The sequence below is a fragment of the Homo sapiens genome, chromosome 14, assembly GCF_000001405.40.
Source record: "Homo sapiens chromosome 14, GRCh38.p14 Primary Assembly".
Classification (NCBI taxonomy): domain Eukaryota; kingdom Metazoa; phylum Chordata; class Mammalia; order Primates; family Hominidae; genus Homo; species Homo sapiens.
In genome coordinates this window covers 85,376,331-85,390,629 of record NC_000014.9, presented here as the reverse complement: position 1 = coordinate 85,390,629, position 14,299 = coordinate 85,376,331, and the positions used below count along the sequence as shown (strand labels likewise).

Here is a 14,299-nt window from a genome sequence, read left to right as displayed (position 1 = left end):
GCAAAACCATGGAAACATATTTATTGAGTGTTTCTTATGTTATAGAAATTGTGCCAAGTTTTAGGAAATTAAAAATAAATTCAATGGCATCCATGGACTAAAAGGCGTATCTAGCATGTAAGATAAATAATGAATCTAAACAATCCCAAAACAAATGACAACAACGCAGTAAAAACCTTTGAAATAAAAGACTTTCTGGGACAAGTATCTGACGAAAGATTACAACCGGAATATGGACCACCATGCTGTTTATCTAAATAAATATTCATTATACTGAAAGGGTCGCTGGTAGAAAGAGGAATTAAGAGACTATTCATTTCTAATGAGTGCCTCATTCTATCCTGGATCTTCCTGGGCAAATGGAGAAGAATCTACATGAAATGGCAAAGCTCTTTTTGCCAGATGTTTCTTACATGTGCTACCTAATGAACAGTCTCCTTTTAGTACAGCAATGATCTAACCCCTATCTCATCCTATCTTGAAACATATAATAAAATAGATACAGATGTTAGCAGGTATCCAAACACATTGGGTAGGACTATCGTTATTCTCAGTATAAAAATGTTAACACAGCACTATGAAAATAAAAATAACTTTGCATTTTAATGAAATTCTTTTATTTTAAATGTTCACAGGCTGAAAAGTTGTCTGTAACTTGATTCAAGCAACAAATGGGACGTATGAATGGGAGAAATGTGCCCGTCAACATTCTTATTTCTAGACCAACTGAAAACTGACTATGTTTATATTGCTTTCCAGATGACCACTAAAGTAACTTATTCCTTTAGAATGTTTTTTTTATACTGATGTATCATTAAGTTGATAAGTGCTGAAAGACTTGATACTTTCAAACCATGTGTGATCCATACATTGGTATGTAGGCAATAGAGAGCTCACTTTAGCACTTGATTAGCATGTGCTATGGCTTGAATGTGTTCCCCAAAGTTCAGGTGTTGGAAACTTAATCCCCAATGTGACAGTGTTGACAGGTGGAATCTTTAAGAGGTGATTAGAATGGATTAATGTTATTATCACAGAGGTAGGTTTATTGAGAAAATGGGATTGTTATAAAAGCTAGTTCATCCCCCCTCTTTCTCTTGTGCTCTCTTGTCCTTCCACCTTCCACCATGGGAGGACATAGCAAGAAGACCCTCACCAGATGCCACCCCTTGATCTTGTACGTCTCAGCCATCAGAACTGTAAGAAATAAGCCACTGTTCCTTATAAATTACCCAGTGTATAGTATCATGTTACAAAACACAAAATAGACTTAGCAGGCTTGTGGCCTCAGCACAGCTCACACTCAGAGAAAAAGGTAAGAGGAAAGACAGCTGCCAAACATTTTATATCTGTTTTTCCTATTATCTTTTCATAAGCCCATATTACAACCAAATTTTTACACCAAGTACAGAATATTAAATATTAATTTAAAAGAACTTGAGGGAAATCATATTACAACTTCATGGTAAATTTAATTTAAAATGCTAAAAGCAAATTCTTTCCCTGTACGTTGTATTTGTGTTTTTAGAAACAGGAGCATGCAAACTGATTCTCATTTTTATTAAATGACTATCTGTAATTGCAAGATTCTCAGAGAGTCAGAAAGTGAAGCCCACGCTCCATGAGAAATGGACAAGTTCTTATTATTTGACAATTTATTTCCCAAGGCTTTCTAATCATTTCACCCAACAACCAATTGAATCTATTTAAATATAATCTTCCCTTGCAATACTACATGGCTAAAAAACATATTAGCTCTAAAAATATTTTCTTTAAGAAAGACAAAGATGCATTAAAAATCAGTTAAAGTCATAGTTGTATTTTTTTAAAAGGGAGGGGAATACCTACAGACAAACAATGTAAATCCATTTAATTATTTGTTTATTTATTTTCTTTTACCTCAGCACATTCATTTGACAAAATGCTTTATTGTAGTCTTCCAATAATCCTTAGGAGATGCAATTATGTAGATTTCATTTTATGAATTTTCTTTTTTGTTGAAGAAGAGGAATACTGTTGAAGAAGGGACAATGATCACTTACAGTTCATAGGAATTAACAGAGTAAGAGGCTAGGCAAAAATATACATAGAAGGCAGAACTGAGGGGGGCTTTAATTTAATCATTTTAGTTATTTAATTCAGAAAATTTAGACCTTTGGCACACACACCTAGCTTCTCAGTGAAGACTGTGTGTGACCGACCAGTCAAAACCTCCTTCATTTTCTTTCAACTCTCCAGTCAGCTAGTAATGCAGGGACCACTAGAATGTTCAAACATGATGACTTGATGAACTTAGAGAGGATCTTTAGAATCATGCAGAATAATTATGCCATTAGGTTAATAATCCTTGGAAGTTTATCCTCAATCTTTGAAATAACTTTGGTTTTCAGTGAAGATTGCTCTCTTTCAGTTAATGCATTTGGCCATAGAGTGGACTTGTCCCCTCAGTTCTGTAACAGTGAAGCAAAAACAGAATGGATGTCAGCCTAAAATGTTGGCATAGTAATCTCTTTAACTAATAACCAAGATAATTTATTCATGTTGCTTAACTTCTTTAACCTCAACAAATATTTTTTGATCATCTTCATCAGAAAATGAAGTTTTGAATAATGAACTAACAGATGATAAATGAATAGTTAAATGGCCAATTCATAAACCATAAGACAATATAGTTTTTTGAAAGAGAGGGTATTCAGATTCATGTGCATGAATTAAAATTAAGTCTTAAATGCTTTATGAAATTTTAGATTATACAAGAATACTTACAACTGTATACATTCCCATTTTCCTATTATATTAATGGTTGCCTTGGTTCAGGCCCTTGTGTTTGAAAAGTCTCCTACTCATACCTGTATTTTCAGCATTTCTCCTATTAATCCCTCTTTCACATTGCAACAAAGCAAGCTACATAAGTGCAATTTGATTTTCATCCCTCTACTTGAAACTCTCTTTTGCCTGTAACAAAGTCACCCACAATCTGACCCCTTCTCTCCCTCATTCTTTAATACTTGTCAAGTCACAAATTAAAACTTTTACAGTTTTCTACATACACAGACAAATGCATGCACACTTATGTACACACACATGTGCACATGCACATATGCACACCAGGTAGACGGAGCAACACTTCAACAACTATTACATGAGTTAATGGAACTTCCTATTTCAACAGCAAGCTGAGCCAGCCGAAGCCAGCATAGTAGCAGATGGTCTTCAGGCAGTCAGAACAAGTTTTCTGATTGATTCCCTGTGAATTTATAGTGACCAGGACTGACCTTTTGGCTGATTAAGCTTCCTGGAGTTTTTGGTATGCATCACAGAGATTAGGCAAGTGGAATCCAATGTGTGAAAAGGGCCAGTAGATAATTCAAAATCATATCATAGGAATATTAGAAATGTGTGACCATAATTTGCACCTCGACTTGGTGAACTGTAAGAAGAGATGGTTTTCATTCTGTGTTATTCTGAGGCTGCTTTCTCAGCTCAATACAACACGCTAGCACATGATAGCTTTCCTGGAGCTTCCCAAGAGGATGGGGATACCTTTATTATCTTACTTAACTCTTCAGCCTTTCTTAGCGACTTGATAATTGCATGATTAAACAGGGGTGAATTTGATCATTATTAATTTACTTATATAGTTAGAGAGCTATTTTCATCTTATATAGGGATCGGCATGTCCATTAGTTGATGTATACAAAAATATGTGGGGAAATTACAATTGCTTTGCAGAATATATTCCAAAAAGTCAAATATTACCAATATATTAATATTTTCTAATGTTAGCCAGGAAAGAAGACAATTGAAATAAAACAAGTACCATACGTTAGGTCTTAGGCTTAAATTACTCTTATCTGTATGAAATAGTCAATTTATATATATTTTTTGGTTTTGAACAGGCAACTGATTTCCTTTCAGTGCTGGGAAATCTAATGTAATGAAAACGAGACTTGTAGCATTTTAAGCAATATTGATAAAAAGAGCAAGGAAAGTCTTAGAACCTTAAATTTTCTCTTTTAGGATGTCTTTAATTCAGCATTCCAATTCAGCAAGTGAATTTCTTTGGATTTAACTTAAACAATTATTTTATAGGTATTCTCTGGAATACATCTCAGCCTATGCTTATTTGAGGATAGTGGCTGCATTTTTGTTGTTATTAGTTCTACATTTACTTATCTTAAACTCTAGCTGTTTTCATGCCTCCTATTTCATATCCTGAATGGTCCTAGCCATGAAGCAGCAAAATCAGGGCTTTTCTTGAAACACATGTGTAATTTCCAAGCTGTTTGTTTTTCGATGAAGTAAATGCAGAGGATGAAAATCATCCATGGGAATCAGGATACACGTGCAGAACAATTTCAAAATTAATGAATCTTGTGAATCTATAATTTCAATACAAGTGACAAATTTATACAGGAGAAAGAGATCTTCTTAAAAGGATAAAACTTCTATTTAAAATTGAGTAACTAACATGTGGGGCATTTGTACAGGTACAAAGTCATATCTCAAAAAATTCAATGAAACTCTCCTCTCCGTAGTACAAGAGGCAACACAGCAGGCCTGAAAATGTCCACTGTGCTATTCCACAAAGCCCAGTTCCAGGATTCAAACTTTACCCAGGCTAAGAGAAAGGGTGCAAAAGTGCTGGTTATTCCATAGGGCCTTGCAACCCTCTGATTTTGACTGTGCTTAAGCCAGAACTCTTTGAAAGGATTGTGGTTGTAGTTTCCGTGGCAATGCAAATTCCGAGAAGCAAGAAGGTCATTCACCAAAAATTGTATACTACCTTCCACCCTCTTGAAGTCACTTTTTTTTTTCCTCCGAAAGAGAAAGAAGACTGGTTCCAGAAAAAATAGTTGTTAGTTTTAAGTTGAAGATGAGTATTTAATATCAATTTAGACATCCGCATAGATGGAATGCAAAGTTGGAGGGTGGATAGTTTGGTCTAGGAAAGGAAAAGAGAATTGCAGACACAAATGGACCACTTCCTACCCATTCTCATCCCCCAACTTCTGATTCCAAGGATTTTCTGGGTCAGAAACACCATATTTCCTTTTTTCTTGTGGAAATTATGATCTGAATTCCAGAAGGAAGCTTGGGAATAAAAATGTTTGTATGTAAGATGACTCATATAGCAAGCACCCCTACCGCTTTTGTTGGTGGTATAGAGACCTTGCTGCTTAAAATCTCTTTTCAAAGAGTCCAATGAAGTTATACCCCCAAACATAATTTTATCAATTCTACTAACACCAACAGATACCATTAGCAGTTGCTTGTGAAATATTACTTTAGATTTTTTTTAAAGGCTTAGAAACATCTTTACTTAGAAGAAATTTAACTGCCTAATAAGCTTTGAGATTAATGTCTCTTATGTAATTTGCTTCTCATAAGTATTTCTTTTTTCTTTTGGAAATCCAGGCTCATAGTCTTTTATTATTACAAAGTAGCTTACAACTGGGTAAGTAAAGATTTATTTCCGTAAGAAAATTTAAATTGTATTCAACCCTGTAAAACACCTTTATATACTTATTTGGTGAAAGAGAGAAGGTGTGATAAAATGAGGAGTATATGGGCTCTTCAATGGAATAAATACTTTTTCTGCAACATTTTTTCTTGTGAATATTAAATATTATTTTTCACATATAAAAATATGAAGAAAAATTTCATGGAACTATTATTAAAATATCAAACATTCTAACAAAGTAGTGTGAAAATGAGTACTTTCCAAGTTAATCCACAAATAGATAAAGAGTAGAAGAAGATTGGTTGGGCGTGATGGCTCACACCTGTAATCCCAGCACTTTGAGAGGCCAAGGCAGGAGGATCACTTGAATCCAAAAGATTAAGACAAGACAGTGCAATATCAAGAGACCTCATCTCTACAAAAATATTTTTAAAAAATTAGCCAGCTGTTTTGTCTGGTACCTGTAGTCCTAGCTACTCAGGAGCTTGACGCAGAAAGATCTCTTAAGCCTAAGAGTTTGAGGCTGCAGTGAGCTATGATTGCACAGCACAATTGCATTCCAGCCTGGGCAACAGAGCAAGATCACATCTCAAAAAAGAGAGAAAAAAAAAGAGTAGAAGAAAGAAAATTATCCAAAAAGAAAATATTATAAAAACATTGCTAAACGGAAAGAAGTGGTAGTAGCAATCAAAATACTATCTTTTTATTATCAAACATTCAACAGTTTTTTACAAAGTTAATAGTCCATAATGGCAAGGAAATGATGAGATAGCTATTTTGACCTACCTTAGAAAGGGATATGCATTCTATGAGCCTATGTAGAAAGCAACTTTAGCTGTCACTAAAATCTTAAAAAGAGATTTATACTCCTTAGTAATGGTATTTCTAGGATTCTGTATTGAAGAAAAGGCTGGGAATGTGAACAAATATGTATATAAAAATATACTCTTAATAGAATTTTAGTTGTAATAAATATCCAATAATAGGAAAATAATGTAATAAATTATGATGCAGCTATATGATGTATTGTTGATAGTAAAAAGTAGTTTTAAAAATAATTTAATAATTAAGCTCATCACTTGTATCTTCACAGTTGGAGATAGTCTCATAAGAAAAAATGGGCACATGTGTAGTCCTTTTAAAGTTGATAAATAGATAAATAGACACGGATAGATGGCTCCAGAGTATAATACTTTCCATGAGGAAGAGTGTAAAAGAATACGTGTGATTTGACGTAAGAATGCTATTCCTCCTGGAGAACTCTTGAAGAGGGGAAACTAATTTGTACAAGAAGCCCAGGTGGGTTTCTTGAATGAAAGGAATAGAAATTTCAGCATTTTCTTCCCAGGATTCCAAGCTCGTTTATAAGCCATCTATTGTTGTGCAACAAAGGCACCCAAAAACTTAGCAGCATAAAACCACCACCATTTTAATTGCTCCTAATTCTCTTAGAAATCTGAGCTGGGATCAGCTGGATGGTTCTACTTGTTGGTTTCACTTGGGATCACTCATGTGGCTGTAGTCAGCTGTTGACATGACTTTGACTGGATGGTCCGTATAGCCTTATACATGTGTTTGAGTTTAGGGCTGTCAGTTGGGCCTTTCTCTCCACATGTTATTTCATCATCAAGGTTGCAAGCTCAGGCTTCTTCATGTAGTAGAAACAAACAGTAAGTGTCTCAAAATAGAATATATAAGGCCTCCTGAGGCCTTGTTCAGAAGGCACCAAGCATTGCTTCCACAATATTCAGTTGGCCAAAGCAAGCCACAGGGCTTGCAAATTCTAAGGATGGAGAAGTAGATTCCACCTCTTGACAGAAGAGTGACAAAGGGCATATATACAGGAAGGAACTACTGCATTTATCTTGACAATCTGCAATAGATAGCAGTACCTGTGGGGACTGCAATAGTACTGATCAAAGACCATTGGCTGTAAAGGACCTGAGAGAAAATTCCTCATTAGGAATTCCTCATAGGAGAGAAGACCAAAACAGTAATCAAGCCACATTACCTAAACAGTTAATTTTTTAGCAGGGATAGTTTGCCATAGAATGTGAGCCAGGTTTGAAGGTCCTCTGGATTCAGCAACGTGTCTAGCTCTGGGGAAAAAAAAATGAGCATCCTTAATGTGCACTAACATTTCTATAATCTTGGAGCATGAAGTGTCAGGTAATACTAAGTGCTATACAGGAATATGGACAAACAAGACTCCTATCACCATGCCAGTAAAGCAATATTCACTGTGTAGTACACATATTCAGAAGTGTTGTCATTTGGCAGAGATAGAATAGTAAGATACAGCAAACTAATTAGACTATCAAGCTCTTTTTATCTTCACCTGGCCTGACTGAGTGACTCTCCCTTGCCACTAATCCTGGTTCATGAAAAATCAAGGAGGAGAAAGGTCTTGTGTGAAAGATTTTGGGCTTCCATGAATAGGTAATAAATAAGAAAGAAAATAAATTGCTAACATTTATTAAGTGTTTACTTTTTTAGAGGTATTAATGTTATCTCATTCAGTCTTCTGAAAATTCAAGTAAGTTAGAAATAATGCATCCACTCTTACTTATTCAAATATGCATATGAGTTAAATATATGCATATTTAAATATGCATTCCTTCCCACCACATTCTCCGTTCTACTGTTTTACTGTATTGTACATGAAAACAGGACTGGGTCTCAGTTCAAGGGAAGTTCACTACCTACAGTCTTCCTTGCCCTATGAACTGCACACAGGGAATGCTGAACCTGCCACTGAATACCTGACCAGCCTGCTTCCTCATGTTACCTACAGGCAAAGCATCCATTGTAAGTACTACAAAAATGCGTTCCTTGCTCCATTACTCAGGCTAATACCTTTGCCAACTAACACAGTGCTGAGGAGAGCACTGAGATGGAGAAAATACAGGGGGTTCGATGTGACTAGGACTCTGTGTATTCATGCCTTTGTGCTACCTTTCGTTGCCCCACGAATCCCACAGTGCAAGTACCTGCTTCTTGACTTGATTTTATAGTTCATAGTGTTACTGTTTTATTGAGCTGGCTCTTTAAATCCAAACCAACTTGTGCATTTAAGGGCTGGAGTATAATACATTCTGTAACAATATGTGTATTTATTAATAATTATATATAATATATTCTGTAATATAGAAGAACATTGGCTATGCTAATACTCAAGACAAAGGGGCTGCTGTGAATCTGTTTGAGAGACGACACTGATGTCACAGAAAATATACAACATCAAATATTTTGTTGTTGATTTAAAGAATTTAAAAAGTGATTCTTACTTATGTATCTCCTTTGGGGTGGATCCTTGCTATGAAATATGAAGCTCTCACTGTACTTTTATTATCTATGGGGAAATTGAGGCAATGAGAAGTCAACTCACTTTGCTGAGAGCACATAGCTCTTGAGGGTAGTGGGGGATTTAAACACAGGTAGAGTCTGACTCCAGAGCCTGCTGTACGTGAAACATGACATGTTTTGCAGTAAACTTCAGGAATGATGAGGGGACCAGTATTGGCCAGCACATGAGGGACAGTGACCTGTAAAGTAAATATGGCATAAATTCTCCAAGATGGAAGTGGACCAGGTTGAGAGGATGATGGGTTACTTTAGTCATGCTGAGTTTGAGATGCCTTTATGATGTTCAAGTAGGCATCAGGAACCAATAATTTGACACTAGTAGTTTTCTTACAGAATCACAATTGTTAACAGATTTGGATGCCAAAGAAAAAACTGAAATGATGTAATAAAATCCTTGAATTAACCAGAGTCCAATATGCACTTTTGGTTAAGTGCTTAACATATTTAACCTTTGAGTTGATCAATGCATGGATTTAAATATATTTCCTAGTGTTGTTTCGTACTTCCTTCAGCAATGTTTAAAGTATATTCAGTTAGGGAAGAGGATAAAACTGCTATTTCAATCCTATTAGTGTGAGGTCTGTATAGTAATCTGAATGTTTTCATTTTAGTGGAATTTCACTGTAACTAGCGTATCATATTCCCAACACACACAGCCTTTTCCTCCTAACTTCGTCACGACCTCTTTATTTCTGCTCTAAGCTGTCCTGTGTCCGGTGTTCAATTAGTAAGCGACGGGAAATCCCTTTAAAGGCTAGCTACTCTGTGGGTGCTATTGCCTGACAAGAAGCTGTCTAAAAAAGAACTGCAAGCTTTTAATCCTACTGGTTTTGTAGACAGTGTTAGAGAACGAGGAATTGGCTGCCACTCTCCAAACTGTGATTTACAATTTTTCTGTCTTCACCCTTCACACGTTTCAGGGTTGAATTCTGTTTTTAGTCATTATGAGTGCCTTGTGTATGAATACTTTTATATCCTCTATACTGAAATATTGGAGATACTGGGGTCTAACTTTGGGCTTATGTGGAGAAAGCTAATAGAGAAACATCTGGAGTTTTAAGATTGTTTGGGAGGGCCAAGAAAGTATTGTATTAATCAGTTTGTCTTCCTAAACCTTGTAACTCCTTTCATCAGGCTCCTTTCAATCTTGATTTGAGTGAAACAACTGGATGAAGCATAGGAAAGATTTCATTGCAAACAAAACAAAATTCAAGTAAAAAATGAAAACAACCTCTTCACATGCAAAAACCTGCAAAACTGTAAAGAATACAAACAAAAACAAATATAAAACCACCCACACTTTAATCTTTCTATTACCTTCTCTTCACAGGTGGTGATTTCTGATAAACCCTTTTGCCCCAATCTCCATCTCAGTGTCTCTTGAAAGGGGCCTACCTGTGACAATATCGTTAACTGAAGCTCAATTGATGAATCCCATTAAAGGAAAGCTGCTATTGCTAAATCAAAGCATGGAGTCTCTGCCCTCCCCAGTAGGCTATGCCATCCAGGTGCAATGTTTGGGAATTCTTTCTCTACTCCAATCTCCTCATTGATAAGTGAGGAAACAGAGGCCCAGAGGGCTGTAGTGACCCACCGTCATGCTGAGCATATGGGGAGGGGCAGGGCTCATGAATTTTCTTTCATGCTGGTGCTTCAGGACTGCTCTAGGGTCAATCACAAAGTGTCTAAAATTCACAAAAATACTAAATGAAAGTAATATAAAATGAATGCTATAAATATTTTAAGATTTGCAATAATTTTGAATATATTTTGATTCATTTTCTAATTTTCTCAAAGTCATGTCCACTTCAGTGTTCAATGTAGCCCTTCTTGGATTTGTGAAAAAGAGTTTCGTATATTAGATGAAAGCAGACTAGCTTTGGCAAACAACAAAGCTTAATCTGGTTAAGTAATCTCTCTTGCAACTTAATAAAATCCGTTATGATAGGACTTCGGGTCTCAATGAAAATGAAATTCTTTCTACATTTGTGACTGACCAGCAGGTCTTTCAGGTGAGCACATATCCTTGATTAAAGGATTTAAGTCTTGCTATGAGCTAAGTCCAGGGCTGCTGAGGTTTGCAGCTCAAGTGCTCTGGCTCAGGGCAACTTCAGATTTTAAGTATTCTGGTTCACAGCAAGTTATGCGTAGTTTGCCTAATGCAGTGATTCTCACCTGGTAGTAATTTTGCCTCCCAGAGTACCTCCAGTTATGTCTGGAGATATTTCAGTTGTCAAACTGGTGGGTGCTACTGGCCAGGGGTGCTGTTAAAATCGTACCGTACACACGACAGTCACCCCAACAGAGGATCACCTAACCCAAAATGTCAGTAGTATGGCTGTTGAGAAAAGACTGGCCTAATATTGTTGCCCTACTGACTTCATACAAATAGCAAATGACGCTAGAAGGGGTCCTGAACCAGGAATCCCAAAAGTGGGTATTGCTATCTGGAGTGAGTTCCTCTGGCAGAGGTTCTAAAGAATATTTTGACTTGCTAACTGTGCTTAAGTGGTTAGATCTTAATTCCTCTTAAGAGCTGATCTCACCTAGGCCAATTGGCTGGAGCTCCAGCTCATATAAATGGGTGTTCCATAAGCGCAGGCAAGAGAGGATAACTTCATGTTGAAATGAAGCTTGTCAAATTAGATGAAATTAGAAACGGCTCAGATGGCTGTCCCCTGTTGAGATTTAAATGCTATTGGAGGTGGAAATGTTACTCAAAAGAAGTATCTAATAAATAAAAATGGCTGCAAATTAGCTACTTTCTGCTTTTCAGAAAGATTAAAACTGAGCATTCATTTTTTCAAATGGCCCTTTAGTTTCTTTAAGCCTGGTAGGTTTCAATGGATTCCTTACATATGGTGCTCACATCTTATTTCCTGGAAAGAACGTTCCACTTTGGCAACATGAGGAATGACACTTTGGCCCCATTTCTATTTTCTTTCTCAAATCTGACATCCTCAACAAGACACCAAGATATTGTTAGGAAACCATTCACACCCCGTCCTGCTAATTGTGTATCCTCAAAGAGGCCTCTGGCCACTTGGTTTGCCTCTTTAGGATACAGAGTGAATACGTGCAGTGAGGTTAGAGGTGAGAAGAGAGGTATGAAATCACAACCATTATCGAGCTCAGGAAGTTTTTTTTTTTTTTTTAGAAAGCTGAGTTAATAAGGTAGAAAATGATGGGGTTGGTGTGCTGTGGGCGAGGAGGAATGGATACAACTGAGCATGTTGGGAAATCCTATAAAATAGACACTTTTAGGGCCAAGTGTGCCCTAAAATTCCAGTAATCCCAGCACTTTGGGAGGCCTAGACGGGCAGATCACCTGACGTCAGGAGTTCGAGACCAACCTGGCCAACATGGTGAAACTCCATCTCTACTAAAAATACACACACAAAAATATTAGCCGGGTATGGTAGCAGGTACCTGTAATCCCAGCTACAAGGGAGACAGGATTATCGCTTAAACCCAGGAGATGGAGGTTGCAGTGAGCCGAGATCACACCGCTGCACCCCAGCTTGGACGACAGAGCAAGACTCTGTCTCAGAAAAAGAGACACTTTAAAAAAATTCTGAATATGTTTTTATATGAGCTAATTTTCAAACTTGGATTCAGATAGTGGATCATACAGCCTTATTGCTCTTGACTTCAATTAAAAACACCCATGTGTCTCTCAGCCTTTTAATTATCCCAAGGAAATGTTATGTTAATATCCAAATATCCTTTGCTTGATCTCTTGACTTTTTTTGTAACAGGGTAAAGTTAGTTTCAAAACTTTCAGAAAGCTATGAATGAATAGAAACCAAGATCCATTTCTGAATTAAAGCTAAATGTTCTTATCTGCAACAAATTTTTAAAAATATTCAACTTTAATCTTCTGACATAAACTCAGAGAAAAATACCTCTTTCATTGAGCTAAGGAAGCAGTCACCACAGCACATTCGAACAGGAGACCTACTCCTTAATATTAAGGAGCCACCTAGGAGCTGTTTGTTTGCGTCCCTCATAGCCACCCAGCTGTTACTCCCATTTGTGGTCTTAGTGCTAATTGCATAATGTCCCTAATTTATATCCGCTGGTTGATCTGATCACCACATTACCTGGAGGGCAAGCTTTAATTAGGGAAATTTCTGAACAAATTGTCTAAAGAGCTTGTTTAGTGTGATTAAATGCAAGAACATTTCCCCTTCTCTTTTTAAAAATGAGCATTTACTTTATCCTGAAACTTTGCGGATAAAAAACAACATGGGTTCTAATTAAGGCCTACAAAATGAACAGCAACATTACCCACGAAAACGAATTGAATTTTGTTGTCTGTAGTTGAGATATATATGACTCAATGCTACATTTATTCAACAGCTTTCGGCATTTCTACTTTGCCTCTGTCAGAACTAACAAGGTGAAACGGCAAACTGATTGAAAAAGGATAAACTGTGAAAAGACAATACACTAATGCGAGATACTAATTCAACTGTGGCTTATGAAAAGAGATTAGAATCATATGCATTCTCACCTGAGCATCTCCAGGCTCTTGAACAAGCTAACATTAAATTAAACCTTCCATATTGTTAATAGGTAGTCAGATACCATATGAATTAATATGCAATTGTACATTTAACTGAAGTGCAAAGATAAATGTCATAATAGGATCAACAAACTTTGATAACTCAAAAACAATTAAAGTCAGCTCCAGTGTTTAGATGGAATATTCTGGCTAAATGTCAGTGTCATAATAAAGTGCAAGAAATAAGTGTGGCTAGGAGAATTTGGAAATTGCACTCATTTTGTTATCGGCCTCGGTGAAAAGTGTTTGCATTATTCTTAATCATCAGACATTTTATAGATGCCTCCTTCTGCTGGATCTCTGTTAGAAAATACATTAAGTTTAGAAATTGTATTCCCTGTGTGAATACACAAGCAGGACATAGTAAAGTGTGATTGATTATTTGATTCTTTTGAGTAAATCTTTGAAAAGGACTGTTTTTTTCATCCTTGTCACCAGCTTTCTTAGTGAATATTAGCACTGGCTAAACATTAAAATGACTTTTTAAAAACACCAATGCTTTACCCCAGACCAAGTAAATATGATTATCTGAAGTTTTCATGTAGATATAGGAATTTTTAAAAGGCATTTCCCCTGCTTCTGATGTACAAGGAGGGTTGAAAAATCCCTGAAATATATAATCATCGACTGACTGCACTTTAAATAGCAATCTAAATTACAACTCTGGATTGACAGCCAAAGAACCAAGGCTGTCATTCCACCTTGGCCACTATTTTATCAGGTGAACCCCAAGCAAATGGCTGAATTTCTCCAGGACCCATTGATAGGTGATCTCTTTTTTTTTTTTTTTTTGAGACGGAGTCTCACTCTGTCACCCAAGCTGGAGTGCAGTGGCACGATCTCGGCTCACTGCAAGCTCCGCCTCCCGGGTTCACGCCATTCTCCTGCCTCAGCCTCCCGAG

At 36.6% G+C, this 14,299-nt stretch overlaps 1 long non-coding RNA gene across 1 annotated transcript; it reads right to left on the bottom strand.

Moving 5' to 3' along the window:
* Positions 1–1,864: 1,864 nt before the first annotated feature.
* LINC02329 (long intergenic non-protein coding RNA 2329) lies at positions 1,865–3,355 on the bottom strand. Its single transcript, NR_135155.1, has 3 exons — positions 3,276–3,355; positions 2,169–2,450; positions 1,865–2,013 (listed from the first exon to the last, which is right to left on the bottom strand). It is a non-coding gene; the product is annotated as a long intergenic non-protein coding RNA 2329 (long non-coding RNA).
* Between the last annotated feature and the right edge of the window lie 10,944 nt (positions 3,356–14,299).